Here is a 27,858-nt window from a genome sequence, read left to right as displayed (position 1 = left end):
AGATCACTTGAGGTCAGGAGTTCGAGACCAGCCTGGCCAACATGGCGAAACCCCGTCTCTGTTACAAATACAAAAATTAGCCAGGTGTAGTGGTGCATGCCTGTACTCCCAGCTGCTCGGGAGGCCGAGGCAGGAGAATTGCTTGAACCTGGGAGGTGGAGGTTGCAGTGAGCTGAGATCATGCCACTGCACTCGAGCCTGGGTGACAGAGCAAGACTCCAACTCAAAAAAAAAAAAAAAAAAACTTTCCATGCAAAATATGCTAAAGGGAATATTTCAAGTCAAAATAAAAGTACTGATAGTAATTTGAAGCCATATAAAGAAATAAAGCCTGGGTGCAGTGGATCACACCTGTAATCCCAGCACTTTGGGAGGTTGAGGCAGGAGAATCACTTGAACCCGGGAGGCAGAGGTTGCAGTGAGCTGAGATTGTACCACTGTGCTCCAGCCTGAGTGACAGAGCAAGACTCTGTCTCAGGAAAAAAAAGAAAGAAAGATCAGAGGTAAAGATAAATATATGGAAAATCATAGAAGCTAGCATAATTGTAATTTTGTTTTTTAACTCCTCTTTTTTTCTGTATGTTAAAAATAATATATAAACATTATGAAACTATATTATTGGGCACACAATATATAAAAATATAAGTTGTGACAGTGGTAACATCAAAAGAATGGAGCTATATAGGAGCAGAGTGTTTGTATGATATAGAAGTTAAGTTGGCATCAATTCAAGAATGGAATCAAAATGTTCCACTACAAACCAATTACACACAAAAGAAGGCAGTAATGGAGGAAATGAAGGACAAAAAGGCTATAAGGCATATAGAAAACAAATAGCAAAATGGAAAAGCTAAGTTCTCCCTTATCAGTATGTACTTTAAATATAAATGGGTTAAACTCTCAAATAAAAAACAGCAGTTGGCAGAATGGTTAAAAACAAACCAAAAACCCCATGATCCAACTTTTGAGATGCAGAAAAAGCAGTGTTCAGAAGGTAATCCAGAACTGAAAATGCCTACTTTTAAAAAGATGTTCAAAATCTATAACCTAACTTTACACCTCAATGAACAAGGAAAAGAACATACTAAGCCAAAGGCTAGCAAAAGGAACAACATAATAAGAACTAGAGCTTAGATAAAATAGAGTAGAGAAACAGTAGAGAAAAGTCAGTAAAACCAAAAGTTGGTTCTTTGAAAAGATCAACAAATTGACTAAACTTTACTTCAACTGACAAAGAAAAAAAGAGATATGTAAATAACTAAAATCAGAAATGAAAGTGGGGACATTACTCTCAACCTTACACAGATAAACAGGATTGTAAGAGAATACAATGAACAACTGTATGCCAACAAGTTAGATAACCTAGAAGTAATGGACACATTCCTTAAAACACATGAATCATGTAAACTGACTCAAGAAGAAACAAATTTTGCATAGCTTTATAACAAGTAAGAATATTGAATTGGTAATGAAAAGCCTCCCAACAAAGAAAAGTCCTGGACCAGATATTGTACTGGAGAATTCTACCAAATATTTAAAGAAGAATTCACATCAATCCTTCTCAAACTCTTCCACAAAACTGAAGCGGAGAGAATAGTCCTAACTCACTCTACAAGGCTACATTACTCTGATGCCAATGTCAGATAAAGACATCACAAGAGAGAAAATTATAGCCCAATATTTCTCATAAACATAGGTTAAAAAATCCTCAATAAAATATTAGCAAACTGAATCCAACAGCATATTAAAATGATTATTTGGGCTGGGCGCGGCTCACACCTGTAATCCTAGCACTTTGGGAGGACGAGGCAGGTGGATTGCCTAAGCTCAGGAGTTCCAGACCAGCCTGGGCAATACAGTAAAACCCTGTCTCTACTAAAATACAAAAAAATTTAGCTGAGCGTGGCAGCGTGCACCAGTAATCCCAGCTACTTGGGAGACTGAGGCAGGAGAATCCCTTGAACCCGGGAGGCAGAGGTTGCAGTGAGCCAAGATTGCACCATTGCACTCCAGCCTGGGAGACAGAGCAAGACTCTGTCACCAAAAAAAAAAAAAAAAAGAAAAGAAAAAAGAAAAATAATTATTTATGATATCCAAATGTGATTTATCTCAGGAAAGCAAAAGTGGCACAACATATGAAAAATCAATGTAATAGATCACATAATCAGAATGGAGAAAAAAACATGACCATCTCAATTGATGCAGAAAAGGCATTTGACAATATCCATACTCTTTCATGATAAAAACTCAGAAAATTAGGATTAGAGGGAAAATGTCTCCACATAATAAAGGTATTTGTGAAAAGTCCACAGCTAACATCATAATGGTGAAAAATGGAAAGTTTCCCCCGAGATAAGGAACAGGAAAGAATGCTTGCTTTCAGTCATGCTATTCAACACGATACTGTAATTTCTAGCCAGAGCTATTAGATGAGATAAAAAAATAGGTGTGTGTGGGGGGGCTTTCAAATTGAAAGGAAGAGGTAAAATTATCTCTATTCACAGGAATCCCAAAAATCCACATGAAAGCTACTACAGCTAATAAACAAATTCAGCAAAGTTGCAGTGTACAAATCAATATATGAAAATTATCTGTTTTTATATGTCAGCAACAAACAATCCAAAAAGAAAACTTAGAAAGCAATTCTATTTACAGTAATATCTAAAATAATTAAATAGTGAAGAATAAATCTAACCAAGAAGGCAAAAGACTAGTACACTGAAAACTATAAAACACTGCTGAAAGAAATTAAAAAAGACCTAATCTAAATACATGGACAGACATCCTGTGTTTATGGACAGGAAGACTTAACATTATACTGATCCTCAAATTCATATGAAATTACAAAGGGCTTTGAATTGCTAAAACTGCCTTTAAAAAGAATAAAGTTGGAGGACTCATACTTCTTAACTTTGAAACTTACTACAAAGCTACATTAATTAAAACATTACGGTGCTAGCATAAAGCCAGACATATAGACTATTGCAATAGAATAGAGTTCAGAAATAAACCCTCACATATATATGATCGATTGATTTGCAACAATGATGCCAAGACCATTCAATGGGGAAAGGACATTTTTTCACCAAATGGTACTGGGAAAACAATATCCACATGCAAAAGAATGAAGTTGGATCCTTACCTTGGACAACATAAAAAATTAACTCAAAATGCATCCAAGATCTACACATAAGAGCTAAAACTATAAAACTTTTAGAAGAAAATTTTGGAGAAAATCTTCACACAATTGTATTTGGCAACAGTTTCATGGATATGACACCAAAACCACCAGCAACAAAAGAAAAAAAGTAAGGCTGTGTGCAGTGGCTCACACTTGTATTCCCAGCACTTTGGGAGGCTGAGGTGGGTGGATCACTTGAGGCCAGGAGTTTGAGACCAGCCTGGCCAAGATGGTGAAACCCTGTTTCTACTAAAAATACAAAAATTAGCTGGGCATGGTGGCGCATGCCTGTAGTCCCAGCTACTCAGGAAGCTGAGGCAGGAGAATCGCTTGAACCTGGGAGGCAGAGGTTGCAGTGAGCCAAGATCGCACCACTGCACTCCAGCCTGGGCAACAGCGTGAGACTCTTGTCTCAAAAAAAAAGAAAAAAAGTAGGTAACTTGGGTTTCACCAAAATTTAAAACTTTTCTGCATCAAAGGATACTATCAAGTAAAGGCAAGCTTTAGAGTGGGAGAAAATATTTGCAAGTCACATACCTGATAAAGAACTAGTAATCAGAATATATAAAGAACTTTTGGCTGGGTGTGGTGGCTCCCAGTGTGTCCAGAGTTGGTTCCTTCCAGCGGGTTCATGGTCTGGCCGACTTCAGGAATGCAGCTGCAGACCTTCACAGTGAGTGTTACAGCTCTTAAAGATGGCACGGACCCAAACAGTGAGCAGCAGCAATATTTATTGTGAAGAGCAAAAGAACAAAGCTTCCACAGCATGGAAGGGGACCCCAGCCCATTGTCACTGCTGGCTGGGTGGCTAGCTTTTATTCCCTTATTTGTCCCCTCCCATTTTCCATTTCTGTCCTATCAGAATGCCTTTTTTTCAATCCTCCCTGCGATTGGCTACTTTTAGGATTCTGCTGATTGGTGCATTTTACAGAGCGCTGATTGGTGCATTTTACAGAGCACTGATTGGTGCATTTTACAGAGTGCTGATTGGTGCATTTTACAATCCCCTTGCTAGCTACAGAGTGCTGATTGGTGAGTTTTACAATCCCCTTGCTAGCTACAGAGTGCTGATTGGTGAGTTTTACAGTCCTAGCTACAGAGTGCTGATTGGTACATTTTTACAAGCCTCTTGTAAGACAGAAAAGTTCTCCAAGTCCCCACTCGACCCAGGAAGTCCAGCTGGGTTCACTGCTCACCAGCATTTTGGGAGGCCCAGGCGGGTAGATGGCTTGAGCCCAGGAGTTTGAGACCAGCCTGGGCAATATGGCAAAACCCGTCTCTACACAAAATACAAATATTACCCAGATATGGTGGCATGTGCCTGTAGTCCCAGCTACTTGGGAGGCTGAGGTGGGAGGATAGCTTAAGCCCAGAAGTGGAGGTTGCAGTGAGCTGAGATCGTGCCACTGCACTCCAGCCAGGGTGACAGAGTGAGACCTTGTCTAAAAAATAAATAAAAATAAAAATACCCCCTACAACAGGAAAACAATCCAATTTTTAAAAATGGGCAAAGGATGTGAATAGACACTTCTCCAAAAATAGTACACAAATAGCCAATGAGCACATGGAAAGCTGTTTAATATCATTTGCCATTAGGGAACTGCAAATCAAATGACAGTGAAATACCACTTCACATCTGCTAGAATGGCTATAATTTTTTCAGAAACAAAATAATAAATGTTGACAAGTATGTGGAGAAGTTGGAATCCTTTTGTATTGCTGGTGGGGATGCAAAATAGTGCAGCTGCTGTGGCATACAATTTATCAGTCAGTTCCTCAAATGATAAATACAGAAATCCAGCAATTCTACTCTTAGGTATATATCCAAAAGAATTGAAAGCAGGGACTTAAACAGATATTTGTACACCACTTTTCACAGTAGCGTTATTCACAATAGCCAAAAGGTGAAAACAACCCAAGTGTCCATCAACTGTTGAATGAATAAACAAAATGTGCTATATACATATAATGGAATATTATTCAACCATTAAAAGAAATGGAATTTTTATATATGTTACAACATGGTTGGCTTTCAAAAACATTATGCATAGTGAAATAAGCCAGATACAGAAGGACAAATATTGTATGAATTCACTTGTATCAGATAGAATAGGCACATTTATAGAGACAAAAAGTAAGATAGAGATTACTAGAGGACGAGGGGAAAGAGGGAAGGAGGAATTTTTGTTTAATGGATTCAGAGTTTATGTTGGGGTCGAGAAAATTTTGAGTATATATAGTGATGATAGTTAACAACATGTGAATGCTTTTAATGCAACTAAATTATACACTTACAAATGGTTAAAGAGATATTATGTATATTGTACCACAATAAAAAATTTTTAAAAATTCAGTATAATCTTGGCCAAAGAATAAAGGGATCTCTAATTTCAGCTGGTTCTACAAAACTACCTCAGGGGCGTATACTGTTGTCAGTTTCAATTTGTTTCTTTCCAGAATGGTTGAACAATTATATATCATGTTACAATGCATATTATTAAACATGCCTCATTTCATACATTGGCAAATGTTCTTTAAAGTACATTTAAAAAGTGAAATTTCTGAGTCATGTAATTTTAAAATATTTTGCAAAACAGCTTTCCAAAATGTGTATGTCAATTTACACGACCACATACTTGACAATTTACATTCCCAATACATGCTAGCCAACACAGATATTATTCAACTTCTGTAAACTTTGCTAATATGATAGATAAAAACGTCTATCTTACTATTCCGTAACTTTTCATTTTCCTAATTATTTCACCATTCCTTTTGTGAATTGCCTTTATATAAATCTGCCTATTTTTCTTTAAAGATGTGTGTCAGTTGAGTCCTCTGGGAAGCAGATGCCGAGATCGAGGAGTAGAAAAGCAATTATTAAGGAGTAACACTTATGAAAGGAAAGGGGATGAGGCAGGATTGGGCAAGGGGAGCCATGAGAATGTGCTCTTATAGCCTATGGTAAAATAGGCTAATTGATGTCTTAGACCTTCGGTGGATGTCTGTAATGGTGGGTAGTACTGAACCTTATATACACTATGGTTTTTCCTACACACAAATACCTATGATATAGTTTAACTTATAAATTAGACACAGTAATAAATTAACGGCAATAACTATTAATAAAATAGAACAATTATAATAATATACTGTGATAAAAGTTATGTGAATGTGGTCTCTGTCTCTCAAAATATCTTATTGTACTATATTCACCTATTTTCAGACTGCAATTGACCACTAGTAACTGGAACTGCAGAAAGCAAGACCAAGAGACTTGAATCAGACAATGGGGGACTGCTATATCAGACAAAGGATTTGTATCTGGAATATATAAAGATCACTTATACCTAAATACTAAGAAGACAAACAGCCCAATTTAAAAATGGACAGAATATTTGAACAGGTATTTCACCAAAGAATGTATACAAATAGTGAGTAAGCACAAGCATGATGGACAGTATCATTAGTCATCAGTCAACTGTAAATTTAAACTACAATGCAATACCACTACACACCCACTAGAATAGCTAAAATTCAAAAGACCGACCATGCCAAGTGTTAGTGAGGGTGTGAAGCAACTGGAACCCTAATTGTGAGTGGTGATGGAAAATGGTACAGTTACTTTGGAAAACAGTATGGCAGTTTCTTTTCTTTTTTTTTTTTTTATACTTTAAGTTCTAGGGTACATGTGCAGGTTTGTAACATATGTATACATGTGCCATGTTGGTGTGCTGCACCCAATAACTCATCATTTACATTAGGTATAGCTCCTAATGCTATCCCTCCCCCCGCCTCACCACACCACAGGCCCCAGTGTATGATGTTCCCCATCCTGCGTCCAAGTGTTCTCGTTCAATTCCCACCTATGAGTGAGAACATACAGTGTTTGGTTTTCTGTCCTTGAGATAGTTTGCTCAGAATGATGGTTTCCAGCTTCATCCATGTCCCTACAAAGACATGAACTCATCCTTTTTATGGCTGCATAGTATTCCATGCTGTGTATGTGCCACATTTTCTTAATACAGTCTGTCATCGATGGACATTTGGGTTGGTTCCAGGTCTTTGCTATTGTGAATAGTGCTGCAATAAACATACGTGTGCATGTGTCTTTATAGCAGCATGATTTATAATCCTTTGGGTATATACCCAGTAATGGGATGGCTGGGTCAAACGGTATTTCTAGTTCTAGATCCTTGAGGAATCGCCACACTGTCTTCCACAATGGTTGAACTAGTTTACAGTCCCACCAACAGTGTAAAAGTGTTCCTATTTCTCCACATCCTCTCCAGCACCTGTTGTTTCCTGACTTTTTAATGATCACCATTCTAACTGGTGTGAGATGGTATCTCATTGTGGTTTTGATTTGCATTTCTCTGATGGCCAGTGATGGTGAGCATTTTTTCATGTGTCTGTTGCCTGCATAAATGTCTTCTTTGGGAGCTGTCTGTTCATATCCTTTGCCCACTTGTTGATGGGGTTGTTTGATTTTTTTCTTGTAAATTTGTTTAAGTTCTTTGTAGATTCTGGATATTAGCCCTTTGTCAGATGAGTAGATTGCAAAAATTTTCTCCCATTCTGTAGCTTGCGTGTTCACTCTGATGGTAGTTTCTTCTGCTGTGCAGAAGCTCTTTAGTTTAATTAGATCCCATTTGTCAATTTTGGCTTTTGTTGCCATTGCTTTTGGTGTTTTAGACATGAAGTCCTTGCCCATGCCTATGTCCTGAATGGTATTGCCTAGGTTTTCTTCTAGGATTTTTATGGTTTTAGGTCTAACATTTAAGTCTTTAATCCATCTTTAATTAATTTTTGTATAAGGCATAAGGAAGGGATCCAGTTTCAGCTTTCTACATATGGCTAGCCAGTTTTCCCAGCACCATTTATTAAATAGGGAATCCTTTCCCCATTTCTTGTTTTTGTCAGGTTTGTCAAAGATCAGATGGTTGTAAATGTGTGGTATTATTTCTGAGGGCTCTGTTCTGTTCCATTGGTCTATATCTCTGTTTTGGTACCACTACCATGCTCTTTTGGTTACTATAGCCTTGTAGTATAGTTTGAAGTCAGGTAGCGTGATGCCTCCAGCTTTGTTCTTTTGGCTTAGGATTGTCTTGGCAATGTGGGCTCTTTTTTGGTTCCATATGAACTTTAAAGTAGTTTTTTCCAATTCTGTGAAGAAAGTCATTGGTAGCTTGATGGGGATGGCATTGAATCTATAAATTACCTTGGGAAGTATGGCCCATTTTCATGATATTGATTCTTCCTATCCATGAGCATGGAATGTTCTTCCATTTGTTTGTGTCCTCTTTTATTTCATTGAGCAGTGGTTTGTAGTTCTCCTTGAAGAGGTCCTTCACATCCCTTGTAAATTGGATTCCTAGGTATTTTATTGTCTTTGTAGCAATTGTGAATGGGAGTTCACTCATGATTTGGCTCTCTTAGTCTGTTGTTGGTGTATAGGAATGCTTGTGATTTTTGCACAATTGATTTTGTATCCTGAGACTTTGCTGAAGTTGCTTATCAGCTTAAGGAGATTTTGGGCTGAGATGATGGGGTTTTCTAATTATACAATCATGTCATCTGTAAACAGGGACAATTTGACTTCCTCTTTTCCTAATTGAATACCCTTTATTTCTTTCTCCTGCCTGATTGCCCTGGCCAGAACTTCCAACATTATGTTGAATAGGAGTGGTGAGAGAGGGCATCCCTGTCTTGTGCCCGTTTTCAAAGGGAATGCTTCCAGTTTTTGCCCATTCAGTATGATATTGGCTGTGGGTTTGCCATAGATAGCTCTTATTATTTTGAGATATGTCCCATCAATACCTAATTGAGAGTTTTTAGCATGAAGCGCTGTTGAATTTTGTCAAAGGCCTTTTCTGCATCTATTGAGATAATCATGTGGTTTTTGTCTTTGGTTCTGTTTATATGCTGGATTACATTCATTGATTTGTGTATGTTGAACCAGCCTTGCATCCCAGGGGTGAAGCCCACTTGATCATGGTGGATAAGCTTTTTGATGTGGTGCTGGATTTGGTTTGCCAGTATTTTATTTAGGATTTTTGCATCAAAGTTCATTAGGGATATTGGTCTAAAATTCTCTTTTTTTTTGTTGTGTCTCTGCCAGGCTTTGGTATCAGGATGATGCTGGCCTCATAAAATGAGTTAGGGAGGATTCCCTCTTTTTCTATTGATTGGAATAGTTTCAGAAGGAATGGTACCAGCTCTTCCTTGTACCTCTGGTAGAATTCGGCTGTGAATCCATCTGGTCCTGGAATTTTTTTGGTTGGTAGGCTATTAATTATTGCCTCAATTTCAGAGCCTGCTATTGGCCTATTCAGGGATTCAACTTCTTCCTGGTTTTGTCTCGGGAGGGTGTATGTGTCCAGGAATTTATCCATTTCTTCTAGATTTTCTAGTTTATTTGTGTAGAGGTGTTTATAGTATTCTCTGATGGTAGTTTGTGTTTCTGTGGGATTGGTGGTGATTTCCCCTTTATCATTTTATATTGCATCTATTTGATTCTTCTCTCTTTTCTTTTTTATTAGTCTTGCTAGCAGTCTATCAATTTTGTTGATCTTTTCAAAAAACCAGCTCCTGGATTCATTGATTTTTTGAAGGGTTTTTTGTGTCTCTATCTCCTTCAGTTCTGCTCTGATCTTAGTTATTTCTTGCCTTCTGCTAGCTTTGGAATGTGTTTGCTTTTGCTTCTCTAGTTCTTTTAATTGTGATGTTTTGGTGTCAATTTTAGATCTTTCCTGCTTCCTCTTGTGGGCATTTAGTGCTATAAATTTCCCTCTACACACTGCTTTAAATGTGTCCCAGAGATTCTGGTATGTTGTGTCTTTGTTCTCATTGGTTTCAAAGAACATCTTTATTTCTGCCTTCATTTCGTTATGTACCCAGTAGTCATTCAGGAGCAGGTTGTTCAGTTTCCATGTAGTTGAGCGGTTTTGAGTGAGTTTCTTAATCCTGAGTTCTAGTTTGATTGCACTGTGGTCTGAGAGACAGTTTGTTATAATTTCTGTTCTTTTACATTTTCTGAGGAGTGCTTTACTTCCAACTATGTGGTCAATTTTGGAATAAGTGTGATGTGGTGCTGAGAAGAATGTATATTCTCTTGACTTGGGGTGGAGAATTCTGTAGATGTCTATTAGGTCCGCTTGGTGCAGAGCTGAGTTCAATTCCTGGATATCCTTGTTAACTTTCTGTCTCATTGATCTGTCTAATGTTGACAGTGGGGTGTTAAAGTCTCCCATTATTATTGTGTGGGAGTCTAAGTCTCTTTGTAGGTCTCCAAGGACTCGCTTTATGAATCTGGGTGCTCCTGTATTGGGTGCATATATGTTTAGGTTAGTTAGCTCTTCTTGTTGAATTGATCCCTTTACCATTATGTAATGGCCTTCTCTGTCTCTTTAGATCTTTGTTGTTTTAAAGTCTGTTTTATCAGAGACTAGGATTGCAACCCCTGCTTTTTTTTTTTTTTTTTTCCATTTGGTAGATCTTCCTCCATCCCTTTATTTTGAGACTATGTGTGTCTCCACACGTGAGATGGGTCTCCTGAATATAGCACACTGATGGGTCTTGACTCTTTATCCAATTTGCCAGTCTGTGTCTTTTAATTGGAGCATTTAGCCCATTTACATTTAAGGTTAATATTCTTATGTGTGAATTTGATCCTGTCGTTATGATGTTAGCTGGTTATTTTGCTCGTTAGTTGATGCAGTTTCTTCCTAGCATTGATGGTCTTTACAATTTGGCATGTTTTTGCAGTGGCTGGTACCGGTTGTTCCTTTTCATGTTTAGTGCTTCCTTCAGGAGCCCTTGTAAGGCACGCCTGGTGGTGACAAAATCTCTCAGCATTTGCTTGTCTGTAAAGGATTTTATTTCTCCTTCACTTATGAAGCTTAGTTTGGCTGGATATGAAATTCTGGGTTGAAAATTCTTTTCTTCAAGAATGTTGAATATCGGCCCCCACTCTCTTCTGGCTTGTAGAGTTTCTGCCAAGAGATCTGCTGTTAGTCTGATGGGCTTCCCTTTGTGGGTAACCCAACCTTTCTCTCTGGCTGCCCTTAACATTTTTTCCTTCATTTAAACTTTGGTGAATCTGACAATTATGTATCTTGGAGTTGCTCTTCTCAAGAAGTATCTTTGTGGAGTTCTCTGTATTTCCTGAATTTGAATGTTGGCCTGCCTTGCTAGATTGGGGAAGTTCTCCTGGATAATATCCTGCAGAGCGTTTTCCAACTTTGTTCCATTCTCCCCGTCACTTTCAGGTACACCAATGAGACATAGATTTGGTCTTTTCACATAGTCCCATATTTCTTGGAGGCTTTGTTCATTTCTTTTTACTCTTTTTTCTCTAAACTTCTCTTCTCGCTTCATTTCATTCATCTGATCTTCATTCACTGATACCCTTTCTTCCAGTTGATGGAATTGGCTACTGAAGCTTGTGCATGCATCACATAGTTCTCCTGCCATGGTTCTCAGCTCCATCAGGTCATTTAAGGACTTCTCTACACTGTTTATTCTAGTTAGCCATTCGTCTAATCTTTTTTCAAGGGTTTTAACTTATTTGCGATGGGTTCGAACATCCTCCTTTAGCTCAGAGAAGTTTGTTATTACTGATCATCTGAAGCCTTCTTCTCTCAACTTGTCAAAGTCATTCTCCATCCAGCTTTGCTCCATTGCTGGCAAGGAACTGCGTTCCTTTGGAGGAGAGGAGGTGCTCTAATTTTTTGAATTTTCAGCTTTTCTGCTTTGGTTTCTCCCCATCTTTGTGGTTTTATCTACCTTTGGTCTTTGATGATGGTGACATACAGATGGGGTTTTTGTGTGTATGTCCTTTCTGTTTGTTAGTTTTCCTTCTAACAGTCAGGACCCTCAGCTGCAGGTCTGTTGGAGTTTGCTGGAGGCTCACTCCAGACCCTGTTTGCCTGGGTATCACCAGCAGAGGCTGCAGAACAGCAAATACTGCAGAACAGCAAATGTTGCTGTCTGATCGTTCCTCTAGAAGCTTCATCTCAGAGGGGCACCCGACTGTATGAGGTGTTGGTCAACCCCTACTGGGAGGTTCCTCCCAGTTAGACTACTCGGGGGTCAGGGACCCACTTGAGGAGGCAGTCTGTCCATTCTCAGATCTCAAACTCCATGCTGGGAGAACCACTACTCTCTTCAAAGCTGTCAGACAGGGACTTTTAAGTCTGCAGAAGTTTCTGCTGCTTTTTGTTCAGCTATGCCCTGCCCCCAGAGGTGGAGTCTACAGAGGCAGGCAGGCCTCCTTGAGCTTCAGTGGGCTGCACCCAGTTAGAGCTTCCCGGCCGCTTTGTTTACCTACTCAAGCCTCAGCAATGGCAGGTGCCCCTCCCCAAGCCTCATTGCTGCCTTGCAGTTTGATCTCATACTGTTGTGCTAGCAGTAAGCGAGGCTCTGTGGGCGTGGGACCCTCCAAGCCATGTGCGGGATATAATCTCCTGGTGTGCCATTTTCTAAGACCGTTAGAAAAGCAAAGTATTAGGGTGGGAGTGTCCCAATTTTTCCAGGTGCCGTCTGTCACAGCTTCCCTTGGCTAGGAAAGGGAATTCCCTGACCCCTTGTGCTTCCTTGGTGAGGCAACGCCTCACCCTGCTTCAGCTCACACTCCGTGGGCTGCACTCACTGTCCTGCACCCACTGTCCAAAAAGCCGCAGTGAGATGAACCCAGTACCTCAGTTGGAAATGCAGAAATCACCCATCTTCTGCATCGCTCATACTAGGAGCTGTAGACTGGAGCTGTTCCTATTTGGCCATCTTGGAACCTCTGGCAGTTTCTTACAAAGCTAAACATTCACTTCTCATTTGACCCAGAAATTCCACTTCTAGGTATTTTCTCAGGAGAAAGGAAACTTTAAAGACAAATGTTTGGCTGGGCGCAGTGTCTCACGCCTTTAATCCCAGCAATTTGGGAGGCTGAGGCGGGCAGATCACCTGAGGTCAGGAGTTCCAGACCAGCCTGACCAACATGGTGAAACCCCGTTTCTACTAAAAATGCAAAAATTAGCCAGGCATGGTAGTGCATGCCTGTAATCCCAGCTACCAGGGAGGCTGAGGCAGGAGAATCGCCTGAACCCAGGAGGCAGAGGTTGCAGTAAGCCAAGATTATGCCATTGCACTCCAGGCTGGGTAAAAAGGGCGAAACTCCGTCTCGGGGGGAAAAAAAAATACTTGAATGTTCATAGAAGCTTTATTCATAGAAATCCCAAACTGGAAACAAAATGTCCATCACCTGGTAAACAGATAAACTGATATATCTATAGAATATGATATCACTTAACAATTTAAAAAAGGTATTGCAGAAAGTCCTCACTTAACATCAATAGGTTCTTGGAAATAACAACTTTAAGTGAAATGACATATAATGAAACCAATTTTACCATAGGCTAATTGATGTATATAAGAGTTAAGTTCCTATGGCATATTTCTGTCATTAAAACATCATGAAATATCTAAATAAAGACTTCAAATACTTCTAATATTAAACATTGAAATAGAAGTGAGCTATACATACATTTGAGAAAGATTAATAAAAACAAGTAAGATCATTATTTACACAACTTTTGGTGAATCAGTAAGTGACAGTGTTCATAGTGGTGGTGGATTGAATCAAAGAATAAATGTTTGCAAAGCAAAAATTATCAGGAGCATCTCCTACGACCATGCAGTTCAAAAACAATCACAAATACAGAGGGCTTGCTGAGAGCTTTCAGACTGTTTTCTTTGATGTCATGCATTGTAGGATTATCATATACTTTACAGAAATTCTTTTAACAATAATTTGTATTCACTCATTCATCCACTTTCCAACCTGCTTATTCCAGTTCAGGGTTGCAGGTGGCTGGAACCTATCCCAGCAGCTCAGAGTGCAAGGCGGGAGCCAACTCCAGACAGGATGCCGTCCCATCCTGAGCCACACTCATACACCCAAGCTCACTCACACTGGGACCATGTAGATGTAACAATTAACCTAGCGTGTACATCTTTGGGGATGTGGGAGTAATCTGGAATACTCAGAGAAAATCAATCCAGGCGTGGGGAAAATGTGCAAACATCACACAGACAGTGGCCTCAGCAGGGAATTGATTTTTTTTTTCTCGTCAACATTATAGTAAAACAATGTTCGACAAAATATTATTCAAGGATCTGCTGTACTTTGATACATCATACATGCAACAATATGGATGAACTGCATGATCTATATGCAAAGTGAAAATATCCAGACAGAAAAGATTACATTCTATTGCATTTCTATGATATTCTGGAAAAGGCCACTATAATTATAAGGGCAGAATCCAGATCAGTAGTTGTCAGAGGCTGAGGTGGGAGTGGGGAAATTAACTGCTAAGGACCACTAGGGAACTTCCTGGAGTGATGGCAATGTTCTACATCATGATCGTGGTGGTGGTTACAGAACTATACACATTTGTCAAACTGTACACTTAAAATAGTGAATTTTTATATGTAGATTGTATCTTTAAAAGCTGATTTTTAAAAAAGATATTCTTTATCTATCAAAATTACATAGGCACATATCCTTGGGCCCAACAACTCCATTTCAAGAAACTATTCTTGAATAGTATACCCGTATAGTCTATGGATATACTTGCACATGTAAAAATAATATGTGGGGCTGGGCATGGTGGCTCATGCCTGTAATCCCAACATTTTGGGAGGCCAAGGAGGGGAGATTGCTTGAGCCCAGGAGTTTGAGAGTAGCCTAGGCAACATGGTGAAACTGTCTCTACATAAAATACCAAAAATTAGCCACGTGTGGTGGCTCATGCCTGTATCCCAACTACCCAGGAGGCTGAGGTGGGAGGATCCCTTGAGCTTAGGAGGTCGAGGCTGCAGTGAGCTGTGATCACGCTGTTGTAGGACAAACCAGGTTCTTGTCACACGACCAGGAACGATTAGGCTCACAGACACTTTGAAGGGTGAGGGGGAATGGAATTTATTGGGCAGAAAGGAAAAACAACTCAGTAAAGTGAGATGGAGTCCTGCTAACAGGCTCTCCACCTGACTGATTGAATCCCAGGTTACCACACAGGAACAGCAGAGGCCAGGCCCCTCCTGCTACAAACGGTGTTAACTTCCCGAGGCCCCACCCAGTCCTCCCAGTTCGCAGGTGGGCAGTATTCAGAAAGAGTCAGTAGGGCAAAGGGCGGGCTTCATCTGGACCGGCAGTCTGGTTTTTCAGCCTTAAAGGTGGGTGTCGGGGGTCCGAGGGTGGGGGCGTGCCTTGGCTGCCTCCTGTCTCTATCAACGCCACTGCACTCCAGCCTTAAGACTCTGTCTCAAAATAATAATAATAAAGTGTACAAGCTTATCACAGCATTACCTGTGATGCCTCACTAAAGGGGAACTGGGTAGTTAGGATTCGTGGGGATGGGAAACTCTGCTTTTGCATTTTGAAACGTGAATGGATTCATTACTTTGTAAAAAAACAAACAAACAAAAAACAACGAAAAAATCCCCAATATTTTCTAGGCAATTGCCTCGGTCTAGGTACGATACTCTGGTGGCTGGGCCAAGGCTGTCCTCACCTCAGGGCAGCTACGAATTTATCACATGACCCCAAGCTGGTGATTTCCCCTTCTCATCTCCACATCTGTGAAAGATTTCCTCATGTTACAGCCTTTTCACTTTCAAATCTCAGGGCATGTAGATAGGCTTCTCTTCCGGGACTTTGCATCCTTTGCTCTGAACTCTAGGTTGAGGGCACCGAAGGGCGGGAAGGATGTAACTTCTGTCTTCATTGACCTCGACGGGGCCAGCCCAGGGTGGATGCCTGAGGAGTTATTTGACAAAGTAACCACCAGATGGCAGCATGGCTCTGTTTCCAGGAAGCCGAGTCTAAGCCATAAACTCTCCAATGAGGAAGCTATCAGCCGCCACATAGTAATGGCTATTTGAGTTCTTGAAATGTGACTTGTCCTAATTAAGACTATTTTCCATGATGTGTTTATGACACACATGGTACTTTGAAGACTTCATATAAAAAAACTCATTAATGTTTTAATATTGATTACATATTATAATGATAATATTTTGAATATATGGGTTGAGTATCTCTTTTCTATGCTTGGGACCAGAAATGTTTCAAATTTCTGATTTTTTGCGGGGGGTGGGGAGCGGGGGGCTTGACACATTAACATTATACTTACTGGTTGAGCATCCTAATCCCAATATCCAAAATCTGAAATGCTCCAGTGAGCATATCCTTTGAGCATCATGTCAATGCCCATTTTGGGTTTTGGTGCATTTTGAATTTTAGACTTTCAGATTAGGAATACTCAACCTCTATTGGGTTAAATAAAATAAATATATTACAATTATTTTCACCTGCTTTTTATTCTTTTTAACGTAATTACCAGAAAACTTAAACTTACACATGCAGCTCACACTACATTTCTACTGGACAGTGTGCTCTTATAAAACCTTCCAGCAGAACCAGCACAGAGCCAAGGAGCTGATGTGCCTGCCTCTGCTACCAGGTGGAAAGTGACATGGCACATGGATGTCACAGAACTTCTTTACCCTTACAACAGAGCCAGTCCCAGAGGGATGGGTCACAGCAAGGGCCTAGAAAGCAACAAGGGAGCTTCTGACCATCCTGACTGCTCCTCCCCTTAGTTGAGTCTCACAGGCACCCACGTGGGAGAATCAGCCCCCATCAGGAGCTAATAGTGCTGGCCACCATGCAGCACTTTACCTGCATTATCTCACTGGCCCCTCACATCAACCCTATTTCAACAAAGCAACTGAGGATCAGAGAAAGGGAGGTGCTGCCCAAGTTCACCCCGTGAATGAGGAGAAACATGACTATCTGCATCTCCTTTGTTTCTTTCTCTGCATCATACTGCTCTCCTGGAGAGCTCACTGATGGCTCCCAGGAGGCGAAGGGAAGTACCTTCGCAGGTGCCTTCTAATGTACTGGAAATCTGAATCACCAGTTATCTCTGTTCTGTGACCACGGATTGTTTGTGTTTTCTGAAAGACATAAACTGAGTGGCTACTTCTCAGGTGATGCCCACACACTGGACAAGTCTGTGTATGGAATGTGCTGGAGGGAAGGCCAGGGCAGATTAGTGCCTATGCTATGCACTCTTCTTACATTATCTTACTTAATCCACATAGCACTCCTCTAAAGCAGGTGCTGTTATCTCCATTTTACAGCTATGAGGCATAGAGATTTCCATGTAGACAAGCGGAGAGAATGAGATCTTGTGGTCATGTTGCATTCCAGAAGCTTTCTCTGGTCTTCAGGTTGCAGCATCTCAGTGGTATGAGACTGCTGATAGCACTCTTCTGATAGTGAGTGAGGCTGGGCCTCCCAGAGACCATGAGGGGAAGGACATGGGGTGGGAGTGCTGAGAGTCTACCCCAGACTAACTATGGAAACCCTGAGACAGTCTGAGTGAAAACTGAGCCAAGATGTCCTGCAGGGGCACAGGTGGCCATGTCCTTAGCTCTGACATCATGTCCGAGGATTCCTAATTGCCTATTAAACAGGAAGTAGGCATCTTAGACCCACACTCATGGCCTACACAGTCCAGCTAATGTTCCAGTCTCATCTTCAACTCCCCCTTTTTGTGTACCCAACATGCTGTTAGATGGACTGTTTCCTTTTTCCCATATACACCATCATGCTTACCTGTCCCCTGGTCTTCACCCCCATTATTTTCCCCCTGGGAAATGCCCTCTACCACCCAATCTATCAATAGCCCTCTCCATCTTTGTATGTGCTCAGAATTCCAGGCACAGCCAGGGCACTCGTGGGCTAAACATAGCAGTGAGGCATATTTGACACATAAGTTTTGTCTAGCACTGTTAGGAGGCTTGAATGTTAGCATAATTAATCTGGAGTGGTAGAGAGAGTCCCTGGCATTGATAACCAAACAAAGGTCTTTGGACAAGGGAGAGACCTTAAAAGCATGGTGTTTTGTTTTATTTTGTTTTTAATTATTTAAGTAACTCAGTTCTCTTGGCATCTTGTGGAGTATGTAACCAAGGTGAGGCAGAAAACTCAAGTAAGCTATTGAAAGACCACAGAATTCAGTGATCCTGAATGATATCTTTGGCATCACAGACTTGGACTCTAGCCAAGCTCTGATGTATACTGACCATGTGGCCTTGGGCAAGTAACTTCCGGTGTGCCAGGCACATACCATAAGCATGGCATTTCTCACAACAACCCTTATGGAGTTATATACTATTTTTATCTCCAGTTTACAAATAAAGAAACTGAGATTTAGGGATGTTATATTATTTCTCCAACACTACAAAGCTAGTAAGAGCTGGAGTCAGGAATTCATAGACCATATTTGTGATAGGGATAGCACAGATGCCTAAAGTGCCGAGTCAGGCTATCTAGCACATAGAAAGCCCCAGGTGAGAAAAGATGGGCCCAAACCAGAAAGTTGAAGTACCAAAGGGGAGAAGACCTGGGTTCCATAGACAATGAGGCAGTACAAATAAACAAAACTTTTATCGTTAGTAATAACAGGTACATGCCAATGTACATTTTACAGAGCTCATTCACATTCATTATTCCAGAAGAATCTCCCAAGAGACTTGTGAAGCAGACAGGGCACATAATTTTATCTCCATTTTGCAAGTAAAGAAACTAAGGCATTTCTTGTAGAAGGCAGTGCCATTTCCTGCCTAATGTTTCCCTGAGGCTTTTCCCGTTGCCCTATCAATCAGAACACTTGGGGTTGCAATGAGGTTTACCAGACTCTACCCAGCTTAAACAAAAGGGGAGGCTTAGTGGAAAATGGGGATAATTATGCCAAGAGAAAAAAGCCAACCACAAAATGTTACGTACTACATGATTCCATTTATATAAAACTGTTGAAATACTAAAATCATGGAGATGTATATCAGATTAATTGTAACCAGGGATTAGGGATAGGGAAGGAAGGAAGGTAGTTGTGGCTAGAAAAGGTTAGCATAAATGATCCTTCTGATAAAACTGTTTTATATCTTGACTGTGGTGCTGGTCACATAAATCCACACATATGACAAAATCACACAGAACTACACACACACACAAATGTAAAGCTCTTGAGATCTAAATAATAGTGGAGGATTGTATCAATGTCAATTTCCTAGTTGTGATACTGTTCTTACAGTTATACAAGATGTTACTACTGGAAAAAATGCATAAAGGGTATATGTGATCTATCTGTATTATTTCACAGCTGTATGTTAATCTACAGTTATGTTAAAATAAAAAGTTTAAGAAACAACAATACAAAACGTACAAAACACAGGAGAAAATCTTTGTGACCTTAAGTTAGACAAAGGTTCTTGTTTTTCTTTTTTGTTGTTGTTGTTTTTTTTTGAGACGGAGTCTCGCTCTGTCGCCCAGGCTGGAGTGCCGTGGCGCAATCTTGGCTCACTGCAAGCTCCGCCTCCCCCAGGTTCACGTCATTCTCCTGCCTCAGCCTTCCGAGTAGCTGGGACTACAGGCGCCTGCCACCACGCCCGGCTAATTTTTTGTATTTTTAGTAGAGACATCGTTTCACCATGTTGGCCAGGCTGGTCTGGAACTTCTGACCTAAGGTGATCCATCAGTCTTGGCCTCTCAAAATGCTGGGATTACAGGCGTGAGCTACCACGCCTGGCCAGGCAAAGGTTTCTTAGATAAAACACCAAAAGCATGATCCATAAAAGAACTAATTGATAAATTAGTCTTCATCAAAATTAAAACTTCTGATTTTCAAAAGACACTGTGCAGACAATGAAAAAGGCTAACCATTGGCTGGAAAGAAATATTTGCAAAGCAGATATCTGATAAAGAACTTATATCCCAAATATAGAAAGAACTCTTTATATAGTTTAACAGTAACAAGAATACTAACAACTTATTTTTAAAGTAAACAAAAGATGTAAGCAAAATTTTAACAAATAAGATATTTGGATGGCAAATAAGCACGTGTATAAAAGCTCAATACAATTATTTATTAGGGAAATGCAAATAAAAACCACAATGGGATACCAGTAAACACCTATTGTAATGGTTAAAATTAAAAACTAACCATATTTTTTGTTGTCAAGGACGTAGAGGAACTAGAACTCTGATATACAATTGGTGAGAACTGAAAATGGTACAACCACTTTGGGAAACTGAGGCAGTTTCTTTATAAGTTAAACATATAATTACCATATGATCCAGCCATTCTCCTCTTAGGTATTTACCCAAAATGAAATGTATCTCTATATAATACCTGTACACAAATGTTCCTCATAGCTTTGTTTGTAACAGCAAACTGAAAACAATCCAAATGTCCATGTAATGGTGAATGGATAGACTGTGCTCTACCCATATAATGGAATACTACTAAGTAAAAACAATAACAGACTGTTGATACATGCAGTAACATAGAAACATCTCAGTACAGGCTGGGAAACATCTTCTACATCCTTGACATACAAAATATGGTTAGTCTTTAATTTGAGCCACTCCAATAGGTAAAAGAAGCCCGACTTCCCAGTGTATATTATTCCATTCATACAAAACACTAGAAAATGTCAACTAATCAACAGTTATATAAAACAGAGAAGGGGGCCAGGCGTGGTGACTTACACCTGTCATCTCAACACTTTGGGAGGCCGAGGTGGGTGGATCATCTGAGATCAGGAGTTCGAGACCAGCCTGACTAACATGGTGAAACCCTGTCTCAACCCCATCTCTACTAAAAATACAAAAGTTAGCCAGGCATGGTGGCAGGTGCCTGTAATCCCAGCTACTCAGGAGACTGAGACAGTAGAGTCACTTGAACCTGGGAGGTGGAGGTTGCAGTGAGCCAAGATTGTGCCATTGCACTCCAGCCTGGGCAAGAAGAGTGAAACTCTGTCAAAAAAGAAAAGAAAGAAAGAAAGGAAAAAGGAAAGGAAAGAAAGAAAGGAGACAGGAAAGGAAAGGAAGGGAAAGGGAAAGGGAAGGGAAGGCAAGGAAAGGAAAGAGAGAAGTCATTGTCTGGAAACAGTGGACTAGGAGAGAAAGTGTACAAAGGAGTACGGGGAAACTTTTGGAGGTGATAGATATGTTTACTATCTTGACCAGTGATGATTCCATGGATGTGTACATTTTAAATATGTGTGATTTATTGTATGTCAATTATTCCCTAATAAAGCTGATTTCAAAAAATGTGACAGAGTGTCTGTTACACGTATCTCTTTGAGATACGTGAGACAGAATTGAAGAGTTTAACTCATATGTGATTGCAGCACAAGAAGGAAGCATGGGACAGATAAATATTTGAAGATTTGATGGCCAAGATTTACCAAAATCAGTCAAATATATCGACCCACAAGTCCAAGATGCTCTGTGAACCCCAAGCAGGATAAATGCAAAGAAATCCACATATAGGCCCATTATCATCACCTGCTAAAAACCAAAGGCAATGATAAAATCTTGAAAGCAGCCAGAAAAAAAAAAAAAAAAAAAAAGACATAATGCACAGAGAGGCACAGTACAAGAAAAATGTCTGACATTTCACCAGAAGCAGTAGAGGCCGGAAGACAATGGAATGACAGTTTTGAAATGATGAAAGACAAAGATTGTCAGCTTACAATTCTGTATCCAGTGAAAACAGTCTTCAAAAATGAAGGCAAAGTAATGTCAGACTGACAAAAGCTGCTAGAGACAATTTTGTCTCTAGCAGACTGAAACTACACAGAATGATAAAAGAAATCCATTAGGCTGAAGGGCTGAAATGATACCAGGTAGAAACTCAATTCTGCAGGAATAAATTTGTAAAACACCAGATAAAGTCTTTCTAAAAAACGAAGACTGTTATGTCAGTTGGGTCCCCTAGGAAGCAAATGCTAAGATAGAGTTAGGAGTGCAAGAGGTTTATTGAGGAGGGGAAGGTTAAAAACGAGGGTCAGAATTTGGCAGGGGAAGGCTTCAGACCACGATGTAAACTGAACACCTGTAAAAAGAGTGGAAAAGGAGGCAGAATTTGGCAGGGAGGGCTGACAAAATCTTAGGCAATTCAGTAAGAAGCTTCATAGCAAAGCAAGCCCTTTAGAGGAGTCTTGCATTGTGCCGAAATGGTCAAGCCCTAGTAAGTCTGCCATGCTCATTCATTGGCACAGAGATCATGTCCTCAGTTCTAAAGATGAGGCAGATCCTGAAAGCCCTGCAGCTGGAGGCTCTCAGGCAACTGCACTTGTCACAGGTGAACAGCAAAGTTTTTCTTAAGTGGAGTGCTGAACAACACATGTCCCTGGGTGCCTCAACTGTTTAAAGTAAAAATAACAATATAACGTGGGGATTCTGGCATATAGTGTAGTAAAATATATGACAACAAGAGCATAAAGTTTGGGAGGGTAGCAATTGGAAGTACACTGTTGTAAAGTTCTTACATTGCCCACAAAGTAGTATCTTAAAAACAGACAATGATGGCTGGCCGTGGTGGCTCACGCCTGTAATCCCAGCACTTTGGGAGGCCGAGGCGGGCGGATCATGAGGTCAGGAGATCGAGACCATCCTGGCTAACACGGTGAAACCCCGTCTCTACTAAAAACACAAAAAATTAGCCGGGCGTGGTGGTGGGCGCCTGTAGTCCCAGTTACTCGGGAGGCTGAGGCAGGATAATCGCTTGAACCCGAGGGGAGGAGCTTGCAGTGAGCCAAGATCATGCCACTGCACTCCAGCCTGGGAGAGAGAGAGCAAGACTCTGTATCAAAAAAAAAACAAAAACAAACAAACAAAAAAAAAGACGATGATAAGTTAAGGATGTATATCGTGACCTCCAGAGCAGTGGTCCCTAAATATTTTGGTCTCAGGACTCCATTAGATACTTAAAAATTATTCAGGACATAAAGAGCTTCTGTTTAAGTGGGCTAAATCTACAAATACTTACCATATTAGAAATTTAAAAAAATTAAATAACGAAAATAGCTGGGCATGGTGGCTCATACCTGCAACCCCAGAACTTTGGAAGGCTGAGGCAGGAGGATCACTTGAGCCCAGGAGTTCGACACCAGTCTAGCCAACATAGCGAGTCCTCATCTCTATGAAATTTAAAAAATTAGCGAGGTGTGGTGGCGGCGCATGCCTGTGGTCCCAGCTACTTGGAAGGCTGAGGTGGGATGATGGCTTGAACCCAGGACTTAGAGGCTGCAGTGAGCTATGATTACACCACAGCACTCCAGCCTTGGCAACAGAGGGAGACCCTGTCTAAAAAAAAAAAAGAGTAAAATAAAATAGCTAAAATAAAGCTATTGCATGTTAATATTTTATTTAAAAAAATACATTATTCCAAACAAAAATGGGGAGAAGAGTGGCACTGTTTTATGTGTTTGCAAGTCTCTTTAATGTCTCTGGCCTAATAGAAGTAGATTTTCATATCTGCTTCTGCCTTCATTCTGTGCTGATATATATTTATTTTTGGTTGAAGTATATGATGACAAGACAGCCTCATCCAAATTTGTAGTTGGAAAAGGGGGCATTTTAAAACAGCCCTTTTAGGTAATTATGGATATTCATCTTTGACACCACACCAAAATTTAATAAATACTGGTTTCTTAAAGGTTAACTGCACTGTGGCATCTGAATACTAGTCAATACATTTTTCTCGTTACATTTAAATCCATTAACTTATTTTTCACATTGAATATATATCTTTACCCACACTTAATTTTGTTTTCTGTTTTTTGTTTTGGTTTACAAATGATACTATTAGACTACTCAAAAGGTAATAGGCAAATCATTTTTATGAAAAGCTGCTCTTTTATTTATTTATTTATTTGAGACAGAGTCTAGCTCTGTAGTCGGGCTGGAATGCAGTGGCATGATCTTGGCTCACTGCAACCTCCGCCTCCCGAGTTCAAGCCATTCTCCTGCCTCAGCCTCCTGAGTAGCTGGGAATACGTGCCGCCACGCCCAGCTAATTTCTGTACTTTTTATATTTTTAGTGGAGACTGGGTTTCACCATGTTGGCCAGGATGGTCTCGCTCCTGACCTGGTGATCCCCTGCCTCGGCCTCCCAAAGTGCTGGGATTACAGGCATGAGCCACTGCTCCTGGCCAGAAAGCTGCTCTTTTTAAAATTCATTAATATTTTAAATTGCCAAATCATAATTGTATACATCTATGGGGTATAATGTGATGTTTTAATATAGGTATACAACATGGGATTATTAAATCAAACAAATTAACATATCATCACTTTATCTTTTTTTGTGCAGAGACATCTGAAATTTACTGTTATTTTTTATTTATTTGTTTGAGGCAGAGTGTTGCTGTCACGCAGGCTGGAGTGCAGTGGTGCAATTTTGGCTCACTGCAACCTCCACCTCCCTTGTTCAAGCGATTCTCATGCCTCAACCTCCCAAGTAGTAGCTGGGAATACAGGTATGTGCCACCATGCCGAGTTAATTTTTATGTTTTTAGTAGAGATAGGATTTCAGCATGTTGGCCAGGCTGGTCTCGAACTCCTGACATCAGGTGATCCTCCTGCCTCGGTCTCTCAAAGTGCTAGTGTGTCTGGAGTTGGTTCCTTCTGGTGGGTTTGTGATCTCACTGACTTAAAGAATGAAGCCACAGACTTTGACGGTGAGTGTTACAGCTCTTAAAGACCAGCAGGGACCCAACGAGTGAGCTGTAGCAAGGTTTATTGTGAAGAGTGAAAGAACAAAGTTTCCACACCACGGAAACGGACCCCCAGGGCATTGCCGCTGCTGGCTGTGGGGAGGGGGGCAGCCAGCTTTTATTCCCTTATTTGTCCCCTCCCATGTTCCGTTTTGTCCTATCAGAGCGCCCTTTTTTCAATCCTCCCTGCAATTGGCTACTTTTAGGATCCTGCTGATTGGTGTGTTTTACAGAGTGCTGATTGGTGCGTTTTACAGAGCGCTGATTGGTGCATTTTATAATCCTCTTGCTAACTACAGAGCACTGATTGGTGTGTTTTACAATCCTCTTGTAAGACAGAAAAGTTCTCCAAGTCCCCACTCGACCCAGGAAGTCCAGCTGGCTTCGCCTCTCACTGGAATTACAGGTGTGAGCCACTGCACCCAGCCAACTGTGTTGTTTTGAAATATTTAACATATTGTTGACTATAGGCACCCTGTTGGGCAATAGATCACAAAAGTTATTCCTCCTTTTATGAAACTTTCTACCCTTTGATCAATGACTCCTCATTCTCTCCCTCCCACCCCCATCATTCTATTCTCTATTCTGTATGAGTTCTCTTCATTCTATTCTCTATGAGTTCAATTTCATTAGATTCCACAGATAAGTTAGATTACGTGGTATTTGCCTTTTTGTGTCTGCCTTATTTCATTTAGCATAATGTCCTCCAGATTCATCCACGTGTCACAAATGACAGCCTTTCTAAGGCTGAATAGTATTCCATTGGGGAATATATATATATAAATAATAATATATAAATGGATAAAGAAAATGTGATGTATATATCATATATATGTCATATATATATATCACATTTTCTTTATCCATTCATCTGTTGATGAACACTTGGGTTGTTTCCATAGCTTGGCTCTTATGAATAATGTTATAATGAACATGGGAGTGAAGATATCCCTTTGACATATTGATTTGTTTCTTTGGATATATACCCAGAAGTGGGATTACTGGGTTTTATGCGAGTTCTATATTTAGTTTTTTGAGGAACCCCCATGCTTGCTGTTTTCCATAATGGCTGTGCTAATTTGCCTTCCGGCTAACAATGTATAAGAGTTTCCTTTTTTCCACATCCTCTTATCCTCTTCAGCACTTTCATCTTTTTGATAATACCCATTCTAACAGGTGTGAGGTGATATCTCATTGTGGTTTTAATTTGCATTTCCCCCCAGTGATAAGTGATGCTGAACATTTTTTCATGTACCTGTTGGCCATTTGTATATCTTCTTTTGAGAAATGTCCTTTTAGGTCCTTTGCCTATTTTTTAAGTGGGTTTCTTTCTTGCTATTGAGTTGAGTACTTTATACATTTTAAATGTTAAACCCCTATCAGATGGGCCCATACATGATTTTGTTACACCATGCAGTGGTCATTTGGAAAATACTGGTTCACTAAGATATGCAGGGCTTTCCAATGTTAACACAATTCTTTTTTTTTTTTTTTTTTTTTTTTTTGGTTGAGACAGAGTCTCACACTGTTGCCCAGACTGAAGTGCAGTGGTGCAATCTCGGCTCACCGCAACCTCCACCTCCTGGGTTCAAGTGATTCTCTTGCCTCAGCCTCCCAAGTAGCTAGGATTATAGCACAATTCTTTATATAATATCAAAAATATCATTATCATTGATCTTATCAGCAACATCTTTAAATATTGAGAAGCAGATACAAATTTCCAAAATACTAAATTTTGCTTGAAAGCTCAAATTTTATCATTGGCAACAAATGCTATCAGAATGACAGGCTCATTTTATTAATTTTTGAGAAAACGCCTGCCAGATATCCAAGTCTGAATATTCATATTTTTGTCTATCAGTAATTCAAAGAAAAATGGTTTTCCTACATATAAAAAAAAAAATCAGGCGGGGCACCATGTCTCATGCCTGTAATCTGAGCATTTTGGGGGCCAAGGCAGGAGGATTGCTTAAGCCCAGGAGTTCTGGGCAACATAGTGAGACACTGTCTCTACAAAAAAAAAAAAAAAAAAATTAACCAGTCATGGTGGCACACTCCTATAGTTCCAGTTACTTGGAAGGCTGAGGTGGCAGGATCACTTGAGCCCAGGAGGTCAAGGTTGTATTGAGCCATCATCATGCCACTGCACTCTAGCCTGGATGATGAGGGAAGACATTAAAAAAAAAAATCAGTTACCAAAGCTCACAAACTCAAATAATTGCTCAAATGCTTTATGCATGCTTCCCATTTTGTCACACAAAATATTAAAAACTCATGTATGTAAGGGTGGAGAATTTTTTTAATTAATAAATTTACTACTTCAGCAAGGACATTCTTAAGTAAAAGTGGCGTTGTTTTGATTTTGTTTTTTGAGATAGAGTCTCACTGTGCTGTGGCGTGATTTCAGCTCACTGCAATCTCTGCCACTTGGGTTCAAGCTATTCTCCTGCCTCAGGCTTCCAAGTAGCTGGGATTACAGGTGCCTGCCACCACACCTGGCTAATTTTTGTATTTTTAGTAGAGATGGGGTTTCACGTTGGCCAGGCTAGTCTCAAACTCCTGGCTTCAAGTGATCCACCCACCTTGGCTTCCCAAAGTGCTAGGATTACAGGTGTGAGCCACTGTGCCCGTCCGTTTTTGTTTTTTTTTGTTTTATTTTTTGAGACAGAGTCTCACTCTGTCACCCAGGCTGGAGTGCAGTGGCACGATCTCAGCTTGCTGCAACCTCCACCACCTGGGTTCACGTGATTCTCATACCTCAGCTTCCCAAGTAGCTGAGACTGCAAGCATGCACCACCACACCCGGATAATTTTTTTGTATTTTTAGTAGAGATGGGGTTTCACCATGTTGCCCAGGCTGGTCTCGAACTCCTGTCCTCAAGTGATCCACCTGCCAAGGATTCCCAAAGTACTGGGATTACAGGTGTGAACCACTGTGTCTGGCCAAAGTGGCTTTTTATTTTTATTTTTTAGACAGAGTCTTGCTCTGTCACCAAGGCTGTAGTGCAATGGCGGCATCTTGGCCACCTCACCTGGCTATT

General features: G+C 40.3%; 1 long non-coding RNA gene across 3 annotated transcripts in view, besides 1 other annotated feature; it reads left to right on the top strand.

Moving 5' to 3' along the window:
- The window catches only part of LINC02603 (long intergenic non-protein coding RNA 2603), an 82,743-nt gene that overhangs the window by 29,596 nt on the left and 25,289 nt on the right, over nt 1-27,858 (top strand). For 2 of the 3 annotated variants that reach the window (NR_046165.1, NR_046163.1), the window contains exon 1: nt 25,150-25,223. The exons of the other annotated variant lie outside the window; for it this stretch is intronic. This is a non-coding gene — a long non-coding RNA (long intergenic non-protein coding RNA 2603). Of the gene's footprint in view, nt 1-25,149; nt 25,224-27,858 lie in introns of those variants that run through there. 3 annotated transcript variants of the gene reach the window in all.
- Nucleotides 16,755-17,317: an enhancer, noted in NCBI's record as "OCT4-NANOG hESC enhancer chr9:96974681-96975243 (GRCh37/hg19 assembly coordinates)". NCBI's record gives its function as "activates a minimal SCP1, AML or CMV promoter by ChIP-STARR-seq in primed H9 embryonic stem cells {active_cell/tissue: H9 hESC(primed)}" and the evidence as "EXISTENCE:reporter gene assay evidence [ECO:0000049][PMID:30033119]".

This window comes from Homo sapiens, chromosome 9 (genome assembly GCF_000001405.40).
Source record: "Homo sapiens chromosome 9, GRCh38.p14 Primary Assembly".
Taxonomy (NCBI): Eukaryota; Metazoa; Chordata; class Mammalia; order Primates; family Hominidae; genus Homo; species Homo sapiens.
Note: the sequence above shows the minus strand (reverse complement) of the source record. Positions and strands in the feature narration are given on the sequence as shown.